Consider the following 14,142-nt stretch of genomic DNA (forward strand, 5'->3'; position numbering starts at 1 on the left):
ACAGTTTAGTGGTGATAAATACATTTATATTTTCTTCTCTTAATCTCCTCTTCCCACTCCCCTTGCTGGCCTCTAGCAACCACCAATTTACTTTCTATCTTCATGAGATCCACTTTTTTACTGCCCACATATGAGTGACAACATGTGGTATTTGCCTTTCTGTGCTTGGCTCATTCCACTTAACATAATGGCCTATGTTCATTACGTTAAACCAAATGGCCAGTGCCACCTATGTTGCTGTGAATGACAGAATTTCATTCTTCTTTGTTTCTGAGTAGTATTGCATTATGTATATATATGACTTTTAAAATCTATTCATTTGTTGATGAGCACTTACGTTGATTCCATATTTTGTCTATTGTGAATAGTGCTGCAGTACACATCGGCATGTAGATATGTCTTTGATACATTAATTTCCTTTATTTTGGATATATATCCAGTAAAGAAATTGCTGGACCACATGGTAGTTCTATTTTTACTTTTTTGAGGAACCTCCATACTATTCTCCATAGTGGCTTTATTAATGTGGATTCCCACCAACAGTGTACTAGTATTTCCCTTTCTCCACATCCTTGCCAGCATCTGTTATTGCCTGTCTTTTTGAAACAAGTCATTTCAACCAAGGTGAGATGATATTGCATTGTGATTTTGATTTGCATTTCTTTGACGATTAGTGATACTGAATATTTTTTGTCTTCCTATTGGCCATTTGTTTGTCTTCTTTTGAGAAAATATCTGTTCAGATCTTTAGCCCATTTTTAAATTGTATTTATTTATATATTTTTAACTATTTTTTTTGAGAAGTAAGGTCTTGCTTTGTCACCCAAGCTAAAGGGCAGTAGCATAATCATAGCTCACTGTAACCTCAAACTCCTGGGATTAAGAAATCCTCCTGACCGGGCGCGGTGGCTCACGCCTGTATTCCCAGCAATTTGGGAGGCAGAGGTGGGCGGATCACGAGGTCAGGAGATCGAGACCATCCTGGCTAACACGGTGAAACCCCATCTCTACTAAAAATACAAAAAATCAGCCGGGCTTGGTGCCGGGCGCCTGTAGTCCCAGCTACTCAGGAGGCTGAGGCAGGAGAATGGCGTGAACCCCGGGGGAGCAGAGCCTGCAGTGAGCCGAGATCACGCCACTGCACTCCAACCTGGGCGACAGCGAGACTCCATCTCATTAAAAAAAAAAAAAAAAAAAAAAAAAAAGAAATCCTCCTACCTCAGCCTCTTCAGTAGCCCATTTTTCAATCAGATTTTTTGTTTGTTTATTATTGAGTTGTTTGAGCTCCTTATATATTCTACTTGTTAATCCTTTGTCAGATAGATAGTTTGAAAATATTTTGTCCCATTCTGTGCTTGGCTCTTCACTTTGTTGATTGTTTCCTTTGCTTGAGGCTTTTTAGTTTGATATAATCCCATTGTCTATTTTTGCTTTTGTTGCCTGTGCTTCCGAGGTCTTATGCAAAAAAATCTTTGCCCAGACTAATGTCCTGGAGCATTTCTCCTATGCTTTCTTTCTTTCTTTCTTTCTTTTTTTTTTTCACGCCATTCTCCTGCCTCAGCCTCCCGAGTAGCTGGGACTACAGGCGCCCACCATCATGCCCCGCTAATTTTTTTTTTTGTTTTTTGTATTTTTAGTAGAGATGGAGATTCACCGTGTTAGCCAGGGTGGTCTCGATCTCCTGACCTTGTGATCCGCCCGCCTTGGCCACCCAAAGTGCTCAGATTACAGACAAGAGCCACCGCGCCCGGCCTTTCCTATTTTGTTTTTTTTACTAGCTTCATAGTTTCAGGTCTCAGATTCAAGTCTTTAATCCATTTTTATTTGATTTGATTTTTGTGTATGGTGAGATGGGTTTAATTTTATCCTTCTGCATATGGTTATTCAGTTTTCCCAGGATCATTTATTGAAAAGACTGTTGTTTTCCCAGTGTATGTTCTTGATGCCTTTGTCAGAGATGAATTGTTTGTAAATGTGTAGATTTGTCTGCGATCTCTATTCTGTTCCACTGTCCTATGTGTCTGTTTTTATGCCAGTAGAAATATATTGGCAATAATTAGTACAGAAGAGCTGAAACAATGAAATGACAAAAGTGAATTATACTGATATAATTCATTATGCTCACTAAATGCAATAGCATACAGCTAGGAAAACAAAGTAGTGCACACCGTATTAAAATACAACACAATTCAATATACACAGTGCTCACAGTGGCCATCGTTAGAGTGTTGAAGGAGGGGATGTAGTCAGCAAAAGTTGTACAGGTGACTTCAAAAGTAATCATAAGCACTTATGATTACTTTTGGCTTAATTTCTTAAACCAAGACTGGAGACACAGGTGTTCATTATGTGCTTATTATATATATAAAATAAATATTTTATAAATATATTGTTTCTATCAGTATTTAATAAAGTAAATCAGTAGAAAAGGTTAAAGAGCAATGCACACATATTTCAAATATGTTTTGCTCCAAATTATATAAACATTGCATAGTTATTGCCCTGGGCCTGGCAAGGTGACTCACACCTCTCATCCTAGCACTTTAGGAGACTGAGGCAGGAGGATAGCTTCAGCCCCAGAGGTCAAGGCTGCAGTGAGCCTTAATTGCACTACTGCACTCCAGCCTAGGTGACAGAGCAAGATGCTGTCTGAAGATAAAAATAAAAATAAGTTAATAAATATATGTTTATATATTAACTGATTTTATTAACTATATATATATATAGTTGTTGTCTTGGTCTATAGGCAATCTTACAGTGCTTAAGACTTTGATACTGAGAACAGATCTCCTAGGTATATGCTATGTTTCTGGGGTGATATGATGCTCTCATCTGGCCTCCATGAGCCTAATTCTATCTTACATTTACCCCACTCTTCAACAACAACTTGGGGAGGTGTCCCTAAACATTCCTAGGTGAACCCAAACCTGTGGCCCTCAACACATTTCTAGGTAAAGCAAGCTCCTGACATATCTGTGGATATCCTCTCACTGGAAGAAGGGGGAAGAGACCATCTCAAAATAATTCATTTAATATAGCTTTTCAGCATTAATTTTATTTTGATAAAGAGACACACAGTAATTAAAATTTCTAAAAAACTATAAACTTTCAAGCATTCTCACGCTAAATCTAGCCCTGCTTACATGCCAGGGAAATATAAAGGTAATCTGTTTCTCAACCTGACCAGGATGCTACAGTAATTAAAAATAAACTCAATCCCTGGATCCCTACCAAAGGGACATTTCATATGGATCAAAGTTCTGGAAAAATTATTTGTCAGGAAATAGACTAATTCTCCAAAATATAATTGAAATAACAGCCTCTGGAAAGGGCCAAATACGACCCTTAATGAAACAACAGCTAAATATAGGTCTGATGCTCATTCCGTGTGGACAACAATAGCAGCCATTCCCACAAATGGCTGATTTGTGGGAAGCAAACACTACTTTTGCAGAATCTTACATGATTTCATTAGAAGGTCAAGGACATTTCAGTTGGGAACAGATTGCTCCATGGTAATACGATCACTATGTACCCAACAATGGCTCTTTCTTCCTAGCCTCAATGCAGAAGTTATTTTCACCTTACCTATTATCATTGCTGTTTCTAACCACATAAAAGTGTATCCTTTATATATCTGAAGTAAATTCATACTAGTGGTGTAACATCTCCAGCCATTTAAGTGTAAAAACAGAAAACATATGATGTGTTTACTTACTGTTTTATACTCCTAACGCATGAAGAGAAGATCCTTTTATTCATTGCCTATACTTTTATTTCTAAACTTTCTGTAACACCTTATCTTATATCCAGCATAGAATTGAGATTTGCTTTTTGATTTAATCTGACAATATTTTTTTCCTCTAATAAGAGTCAAGCCCACTTACTTTTAATGATAAATTGTGTTTGGTTATATTTTGATTACAGTATATTATGCTATGATTTATATGCACATATCTGTCTTTTGCTGTCTTGTTTGTTTTTATTGCTTTTGTTTTGATGTTGTGATATTTGGAAGAGTTAAACTTTTATTCTGATGGCTACCTTATGTAATTTCATAAAATCATCTCTTTCTTTAGACAGTAGCTAATGTCTCTAAACTAAGAACAATGGTATTAGCTGTATTCTCTTTCTTGTCCTCCCTATGTGATTTTTCATCCCACAATTTGATTTAATCATATTAACTTTGTTTCCCCTGGTGCCATTAAGTATGCTTACATTTCTATAAACAATATCCTTTGACTCCCAGGCATTACAGATGAGCAGTCAGTAAAATCATTCTGAGGAATACTTTCTCTTTCCTTTTCTTCCATTTTTCTTAGTTGTATCATTTCTATATTGCCAGAGCACCTACAGTTGCATTTCTTTCTGTCAGCTTTATCCAGCATTTGTTCTTGTCTTTTATTTGAAGTTAAATATATTCCTTGCTCACTACAACACTGGGGGAAGGAAGGTTTCTGTTGTCGTCGTGCTTGTACAATTGTTTATTTAAAAACATTGGCGAAAACAAAAACTGTACGTAGATGGAATGGAGATAAGACAGAAAATGAGAGAGACTGATGATGAGTGTGCCTATTCTAGACTGGGAGGCGTGCTACACTGAGTAGTGTCTCCAAGGCTGCAGGAAAGGATGGTTGATTGTGAGCAGGTGGACTTTCCACTGGAGGAGAGAAGTCCTGCGCTCAACAACCTGTGCAGAACCAGAAACTGGTAATGCTTCAAATCAACTTACAGACCTGGAGGTAGAAATTTAAGAAAACTCGTTTAGCACATAGTTTCCTAGAAAATATTAGCTACTATTTGCTGAGCATCTGTCAGGTCTGTCTGTAGTATGGAAGATCTGAGTACAGGGGAAACTGGATTAGTAACAGTGGGTCAGAAAATTATATAATATTCAACCAAAATTCCTGCTTTACATACACAGCACCTGGTATTTCCAGAACTAGAAGGTAAAGAAATTATTTGTGCTTGAACTTGCAGAAAACTGCCTTTTCCCTTCTCTTGCATCTTAACCTGGAGCTTCCCTTTTCTTGAGCCTCAGTGTGCTTCCCAACTCAATTTATAATTGACTTCCTGCAGTTTCTCCTTAGGACAGGGCTTTGTTTTGGGGGTGGTTAATTTGTAGGGTTCATAGGAAACAGACCACTCACAGCACTGCTTTTTGCCACCCTCACTCTCAGCTATGAGTTGAGGCCCAGGAAGCCTTCTGCCAGCCTCAGCTGCTGTTCTCAGATTAATCTGCTGAGTTCTTTTTGCCTAGTAAGAATCTCTGAATTTAGGAACATAGATGTTAGCGCTTGTATTTCTAGGTTTTCCAGTTCCCAGGGCCATTAAACATTTTTTTCCTTTCCTTTCCTTCTTCCAAAAAAATTGGTGATTCCCCTGGGTCCCTGTGGTTTAACCTCACAAAACGTCCATGATGACACCCTGTTACATTGTTTTGTCGTAGTTAATACCTTGTTATCCCAGTTGCTCAGTCAGTTTTTGTGAGAGATTCAGGGATCTTAATAAAACTGTGCTGCTACTGCTACTAACATCTTGCATAAAAGCCCGATTAATTAAAATGTTTATTTTGCATGTGATTTGAACTTGTAATTTTTATTCAAAGTTTTTCAACAGAGATCCAGAAAAGACCCTCCTTATATTTTTAGTTTTGTGCATTGCAACACTTTTTAGTGAAAAAAAAAATGAGAACAACACAAGTGATTTTAAAAGAATAAACCTACAATCCATTAATTATAAAATGAAATACTATGCAGGTGTTAAGAATGAGGGAATCAATAAGAACTTGTGTGGGGTAACTATAAACTTTTAAAAAATAAATTTAATGCTCATGTGACCATATTATCGTTAAAAAAATACAAGCATACTTGCACACACCTTCAAGCAAAATGGGTACACGCATTTAAAAATATTTAAATTAAGTAAATGGCCCAATAATTTAACTTCGTACAATTCTATGTTCTCTGATTATTTTATATGCCAGAAACAGGCATTACTGTTTTGTTTATTTCATTTGAAATAATTGTAGTCACATGAGGTTTAAGTTATAATACAGAGAGGTCACATATGCCTATTTTCTAATTGGTATCTTATTACTATTGAGTTTTGAGAATTTTTTACATATGCTAGATGTAAGTTCTTTGTCAGATATATGGTATGAAATTATTTCTCCCAGTCTGTAATTCATTTTTTCAACCTCTTTACAGGGTCTTTCTAAGTAAAAAAAAAAAAAAAAAAAGTGTTTATTTATTCTAATGAAGTCCAGTTTTATCACTTTTTCCTTTTGTAGATTTTGTTTTTAATATCAAGCCTAAAAATTCTTTGCCTAGCCCAAGGTCTCAAGAGTTTTCTTTTATTTTAAAAAGTTTAGTGAATTTATTTATTTATTAATTATTTTTGAGACGAGGTTTCGCCCAAACTGTAGTGCAGTGGTGCCATCATTGCTCACTGCAGCCACTAACTGCTGGATTGAAGTGATGCTTCCACCTCAGCCACTTGAGTAGTAGCTGGGATTACAGGCACGAGCTACCATACACAACTTTAAGTTTTATAATATTACATTTTACATTTAAGCCTGTGATTTATGTGAGCTAAATTTTATATAAAGTATAAATTTAGGTCAGTCTTAGTTTTTGTACCTGTGAATGTCCAATTGCTGTAGCACCATTTGTTGAAAAAGATATCCTTCCTTTAAACTGATTTTGCATCCTTGTTAAAAAAAAAATCAGTTGAATATAGTGTGGTCTGTCAGCTTTTAATAAGATAAAAACATTGACACTCACCAGATATCGAAGTTTAGAAATTTTTTTAAAGCTAAACTTCTGAAAATAGAATAAAAACACCTTCACATGTCAAATTAGTCAATTTCTATAGGACTAATTCATTTAAATATATTAAAATACAAAATAATCTACTAAAGTGATAATACAAGACTATAAATTTAAAGGCTAATTATTAAGTCAAATTGCTGTATTCTACGTGTTAGAGTGAGTTCAAAAGATCCATTGTATTACTGAATAGGCAAAAGTTTTAATTTCAGAGGATGAAACTGATATATTACTGCCACCTTGTGGATATTCTGTTATTACAGGCTATTATAAAAAGCAATGAGGGTATGTAATCTGTTCTAAGAAGAAGCATTTCCTTTTTTTGAGGTTTTTATTATTGTTATTATTACATTTTAAGTTCTGAGATACATGTACAGAACGTGGAGGTTTGTTACATAGGTATACACATGCCATGGTGGTTTACTGCACCCGTCAACCCATCATCTACATTAGGTATTTCTCCTAATGCTATCACTCCCCTAGCCTCCCACCCCCCTGACAAGCCCCGGTATGTGATGTTCCCCTCCCTGTGTCCATGTGTTCTCATTGTTCAACTCAAAAGAAAAACAGAAGCATTTTCTGCTTTCCCAATTTCTTAAGTACAATGCAACTTTATGTTTAATTTAACTAACTTAATTTTTTGAGACAAGGTCTAGCTCTGTTGCCCAGGCTGGAGTGGAGTGGCGTGAATATGGTTCAGTGAAACCTCCACCTCCCTGGCTCAAGTGATCCTCCTTCCTCAGCCTCTCGAGTAGCTAGGACCACAGGCACGCACCACCATGGCCAGCTAATTTCTTTTTTATTTTTTGTAGAGATGAGGTCTCACTTTGTTGTCCATGCTGGTCTCAAACTCCTGGGCTCAAAGGATCCTCTTGCCATGGCCTCCCACAGCGCTGGGATTTATAGGTGTGTGCCATGGCACCAGGCCTAAGCAACTGTAGAGAAGCCTTTTTTTCTTTCATAAAAACAGTTGTAGATATTTTCCTTATGGAATTTATTTGTGGTGAAATATTTTAATAGATGGTTTGTTAATAATTTGTCTCAGATAATAATAATTGATTAATATTAAAACTACAAAACAAGTAGGATCTTCTTTTTCTATGAAAAATGAAAGTTGATTCTGACATTTATGTAAACATTTTAAATATTCAAAGTATATAAATGTGAAGTCCTATCAAGAGTAATTAGACAAGAGAAAGAAATAAAGGGCATTCAAATCGGAAAGGAGGACATCAAATTGTTCCTATTTGCAGATGACATGATGTTATATATAGGAAAACCTGAAGACTACCAGAAAACTTTTAGAACAAACAAATTCAGTGAAGTTGCAAGACACAAAACTAATACACGAAGATTGGTTGCATTTATATATATGAACAACAAACTTGCTGAAAAAGAAATTAAGAAGGCAAACCCATTTACAATAGTTACCAAAAAAAAAAAAAACCCAGACATAAATGTAACCAAGGAGGTAAAATGAAAACTACAAAACACTAATGAAAGAAATTGAAGAGGATACAAACAAATGAAAAGACATTCATACTCATGGATCAGAAATATGAATGTTGTTAAAGTGACAGTACTACTCAAAAGCAACCTACAGATTCAATGCAATCTCTATCAAAATACCTATGAACATTCTTCACAAAATTAAAAAAAAATCCAAAGAGATTTTATGGAATCAAAAAGTATCCTGAATAGCCAAAGCCATCCTAAGCAAAAAGAACAAAGCTGGATGTATCATGCTACCAGACTTCAGAATACACTACAAAACTGTAGTAACCAAAACATCATGGTATTGGCATAAAAACAGACACATAGACCTATGGAATAGAATAAAGAACCCAGAAAATCCACATATCTCAGCCAACGGATTTTTTACAAAGATGCCAAGAACACTCATTGGGGAAAGGATAGTCTCTTCAATAAATGGTGCTGGAAAAACTGGATATCCATATGCAGAAGAATGAAACTAGACCTCTGCCTCTCACCCTATACAAAGATCAACTCAAAGTATCTCAAATACCCAAATATAAGACCCAAAATGGTAAAGCTACTAGAAGAAAACATAGGGGAGATCCTTCAGGACATTGCTCTGGGAAAATATTTTATGAATAAGGCATCAAAAGCACAGGCAACAAAAGAAAAAATAAACAAATAGGATCACATCAAGCTAAAAATCTTCTGCACAGCAAAGGAAATAAGAAAGTGAGTGAAAAGACAACCTACAGAATGGGAGAAAGTATAAACTCATCTGGCAGGAAATTAATATCAAGAATATACAAGGAATTCAAACATATCAACAGCAAAGAAGCACAACAATCTAATTAAATATAAACAAATGCTCTGAACAGACATTTCTCAAAAGAAGACATACAAATGACCAACAAATATATGAAAAAATGTTCAACACCACTAATCAGCAAGGAAATGCTAATCAAAGCCACAGTGAGGCATCATCTTACTCCAGTTAGGATGGCTATTATAGAAGAGACAAAAATAACAAATGCTGACAAAGACGTGAAGAAAAGGGACTTTTTTTTTTGACAGAATCTCACTCTCCGTCCAGGCTGGAGTGCAGTGGTGGTGTAATCTGGCTCCCTCTGCTTCTAGGGTTCAAATAGTTCTCCTCCCTCAGCCTCCTGAGTAGCTGGAGAAAAAGGAACTCTTATGCACTGTTGGTAGGAATGTAAATTAGAGCAGCCAGTATGGAGAACAGTATTGAAACACCTCAAGCAATCCCACTACTGGGAACTTATCCAAAGGAAAGAAAAGCATTATATTGCAGAGACATCTGCAACCCCATGTTTATTGCAACAGTGTTCACAATAGCCAAGATATGGAATCAACCTAGGTTTCCAACAACAGATGAATGGATTTTTAAAATACGGTATATATACACCAAGGAATGCTATTTAGCCATAAAAAAGAATAAATAAAACCCTGTCATTCTCAGCAACATGGATGGAACTGGAGGATATTATGTTAAGCAAAATAAGCCAGGAATAGAAATTTCAACACCACATGTTCTCACTCACGCAGAAGCTAAAGAAAAGTTGATCTCATAGAAGTAAAAAGTAGAACAGAGGATACTGCAGGCTGAAAAGGGTAGGGAGAAAGGAGGAATGGTAAGAGATTTGTTAATGGATACAACATTACAGCTAGGTAGGAGTAATAAGTTCTAGTGTTCTATAGTACTGTAGATGACTATAGTTAACAATACTATATTATGTAGTTTAAAATACCTAGGAGTAGTTTGAATGTTCCCAACACAAAGAAATAATAAATGTTTGAGATGATAGATATGCTAATTACCCTGATCTGATCACCATCTACATGTACTGAAACATCCCCGTATAGCCATGAATATGTATAATCTTTGTCAATTTAAAAAGTAAAAAAAAAAATTAATCTTGGAGAATGCATTTGAAGAACTTGTACTCAAGAAATCAACTTAAGAACCTGAGTCTCCTTGGAATTTGTGTTTTCTAGACCAGTACTTCTCCAAATTAAAGCAAATTTAGGCTGGGCATGGTGGCCCATGTCTATAATCTCAGCACTTTGGAAGGCCGAGGCAGGCAGATCACTTGAGGTCAGGAGTTCGAGACCAGCTGACCCAACATTGTGAAACCCTGTCTCTACTAAAAATACAAAAATTAGCCGGGCATGATGGCATGTGCCTGTAATCCCAGCTACTTTGGAGGCCGAGGTAAGATAATCGCTTGAACTGGAGAGGTGGAAGTTGCAGTGAGCCGAGATTGCACCACTGCGCTCCAGCCTGGGCAACAGAGCAAGACTCTGTCTCAAAAAAAAAAAAAAAAAAAAGCGAATTTAGTTCACTTTGGTATTGTGTCAAAATGTTGATTCTTTTAAAGTAAATCTAAAGAATTTAGATGTAGTTGAAGATTGTCATCTGTTCTTAATTTTTTTAATAAAAATATAATATTTAGATTCAGAGTAAATCTAAAGTGAGACCTGAAGCTGCTCCCAGGTGATACTGATGCTGCTTATTTTTGCCCAGATTTTTAGTCACAAGGTTCTAAATTATCGTTTTGAAGTCCTACATGAGTAATCACTTGGAGAGCTCAATTAACACCCAGCAACAGACTAATTATTAATAAACCACAATCTTCAGTATTAGGCTTCAATCATTGGCAATTTTTTTTTTTGACACACAGTCTCCCACTGTCGCCCAGGCTGAAGTCCTGAGGCCAGAATGAGACTAGGACATGGTTCCTTTGCCTAAGTAAACTGAGGCAGAAAATGGAATACTTCAGACTTCAAATTAGTATGGTAAGTGCTATGAAGAGTATGATTAGAGTTCATTATTTACCCAGAAAAGGGTCACTCAGCCCAGCCTGGGAGTTAGAGAAGGTTTCCTGAAGTCTTGACATGTGAGTCGTGAAAGGACATAAGGAGTTAACCACGTGACAAAATAAGCTAAGAGAATTCTCAACAAAAGACAAAATATTGGCAAAGGCTTTTAGGCATATACTAGCTTAGTATTATTGGGAGAATGTAATGATTTTCTGTATTTCAAAAGTGTAAAATACAAAGTGGGCCATGATATGAGATAAACCAGTAAATATGTTCTGGGAACAGATCATAGAAGGGCGTGTATGCTGTCCTAAGGAGCTTAAACTTCAACTTCAGTTCATGGGAGCCAATGACAAGATCTGAGCAGGGGAAGGATGTGGCTAGAGGGGCATCTTAGACAGACAAGATCCTCTGTGGATTACACCTAGGCTAAGCAACGGGTTAAAGTTGTTGTCTTAAGACAATAGTCCAGGTAAAAGATAATAAAGTTTTAAATTAGGATGTTAGTAGGAATGAGGAAGAGGGATGGATTTCAGAAATAGTAAGGAAATGTATTAGCAGGACTTGATTAGTGATTGACTTGGGGAAGGAGGGGAAGATAGAGTTCAGGATGACTCCGAGACTGTCTGGTGTCGGTGGCTAATAACTGAAGCTATTAATAGAGGTAGGAAATGCAGACCAAAAGCAGGCCCGGGGTGAGAGATGATAAATTTGAATTTTAACATGTTGAGTTTGGACATCCAGGATGAAATAATCACAAAACATTTAAATATACGAATCTGAAAAGGTAAGCATCATAAGCATATGAGCTATTGGTAAAATTCTGATACTTAATGAAGTATCGCAGGGAGGCAGTACAGAGGCAAGCAATGGGCTGGGGATAAAACATAGGGAAATATTATTTAAATAAAGATGAGAGAAAAGGAACCCACAAAGGAAGCTGAAAAGGCATAGTCAAAAAAAGAGGCTTGCCAAATGCCACCTTTGAAGCTCTGCTGTTACACTTTATAAGGAAACTTTTGGTTACCTGGGATTGCATGCATTTATAAAAGTTTCTATTATTAGGAAGACAATAATAATGATAAGGCTCTTTCTCATTGTTGTCAGTGTAATTTATCTATTTAATTATAGAACCTAGTTCCAGGATGCTTAATCTGAAGTATATACTTGGGGCAAAATGAATTATATCTTAATAATAATCTGGAATTTTTATCTCTAACTTGACATATTTTAATTCTTGCTAGATTTTCAAAGTGTCATACCTTGAACCACCGCCAGATGGCTATGAGAATGTTACAAATACTGCGCCACCATATAATGCTTTCTCAGCCCAAGGCATGCCAGAGGTAAAATAAAATACATTTGTAACCCAAGTCTTTAAATGGTTCTTTTGCTATATAAAACCTGTATAGAGGACTAAAACCAAGGAAATTAGGTGAATCATTCATGCGGATTCATTGTTTGATATTCAGTGCTATGAAAACCTCATCCCTCAAATTTAAAAAATTATAATAAAATAGAAAACAACACCAGACAGAGAAAAAAGAAACAAAACAAATACATTAAAAACTGACCCTGCTGAAGCAGATGACACTCTTCGAAATAACAAAGAAACTGCTGAACACACCTTTAATTCAGTGAGGCAGTAGGTGTTTTTTTCTTTGTTTGTTTTTGTTTCTTTTTTTTTTTTGAGACGGAGTTTCGCTCTTGTCACCCAGGCTGGAGTGTAGTGGCACAATCTGGGCTCACTGCAACCTCCGCCTCCCAGGTCCAAACAATTCTCTTGCCTCAGCCTCCTGAGTAGCTGGGATCACAGGTGCACACCACCACACCCTGCTAATTTTGTATTTTTTTTAGTGGAGGCGGGGTTTCTCTATGTTGGTCAGGCTAGTCTCGAACTCCCAACCTCAGGTGATCTGCTCACCTCGGCCTCCCAAAGTGCTGGGATTACAGGCGTGAGCCACCACGTTAAAAAGGGAAACTTCCTATTTGCCCTCTGAAGGTTTGCAGAAAATGAATGGACAAAACATAAATTAATAGAAGAAAGAGGCAAAAAAAAATTCTGTAAAATGTAGGGGAAAAATCACAGGGTCTCACTCAGTTACCCAGCATGAAGTGCAGTGGTGTGATCATGGCTCCTTGCAACCTTGAATTCTCAAGCACAAGTGATTCTCCCCCCTAAGCCTATGGAGTAGCTGGGATCACAGGGGCATGCCACCATGCCCACATACATGGGTATTTGCTGGAGGGGAGATGGAGACTCTCTGTCCTGGATGTGAGACAGGTGGCTGGCATCTGGGTAAGGATGACATTCCCTCATTGCTAAAGAGTAAAAGAGGAAAGTGTCATGGATAGTGCAAGCAGGGACATGCCCTGACCTAGTGAGGTCCAGAAGCTTATATTATCCTTCATAGGGGAGTGGGAAGAAGCGAGTGTAGGCAACCCAGGGGAAATAAATGACCTAAAATAAAAGAAATAGATCATCAGAAGTGTAGATGTATTAGTCAGGGTTCTCTAGACTGACAGAATTAAAGGACTATATACATATATATATATGAAGGGGAGTGAGATGGTTAATAATGAGTGTCAACTTGATAGGATTGAGGGATATGAAGTATTGATCCAGGGTGTGTCTGTGAGAGTGTTGCCAAAAGAGATTAACATTTGAGTCAGTGGGCTGGGGAAGGCAGACCCACCCTTAATCTGGTGGGCACAATCTAATCTGCTGCCAGCAAATATAAAGCAGGCAGAAAAATTTGAAAAGGAGAGACTGGCCTAGCTTCCCAGCCTACATCTTTCTCCCATGCTGGTTTCTTCCTGCCCTCAAACATTGGACTCCATGGCTCTCCTTTCTCATCAGTTTGCAGACAGCCCACTGTGTAACTTATGATCCTGTAAGTTAATAAACTCCCCTTTATAAATAAATATATATGTGTGTGTGTGTGTGTGTGTGCGCATATATATGTATGTGTGTGCGTATGTATATATATATGTA

At 37.0% G+C, this 14,142-nt stretch overlaps 1 long non-coding RNA gene across 3 annotated transcripts in view; it reads left to right on the forward strand.

The window, feature by feature from the left end:
- Positions 1-13,677, forward strand: part of LOC107984006 (uncharacterized) — a 52,131-nt gene extending 38,454 nt beyond the window's left edge. For all 3 annotated transcript variants that reach the window (XR_007061501.1, XR_007061502.1, XR_007061503.1), the window contains exon 4: positions 12,392-13,677. This is a non-coding gene — a long non-coding RNA (uncharacterized LOC107984006). The remainder of the gene's footprint in view (positions 1-12,391) is intronic.
- Positions 13,678-14,142: the final 465 nt, after the last annotated feature.

This window comes from Homo sapiens, chromosome 9 (assembly GCF_000001405.40).
Source record: "Homo sapiens chromosome 9, GRCh38.p14 Primary Assembly".
Lineage (NCBI taxonomy): Eukaryota > Metazoa > Chordata > Mammalia > Primates > Hominidae > Homo > Homo sapiens.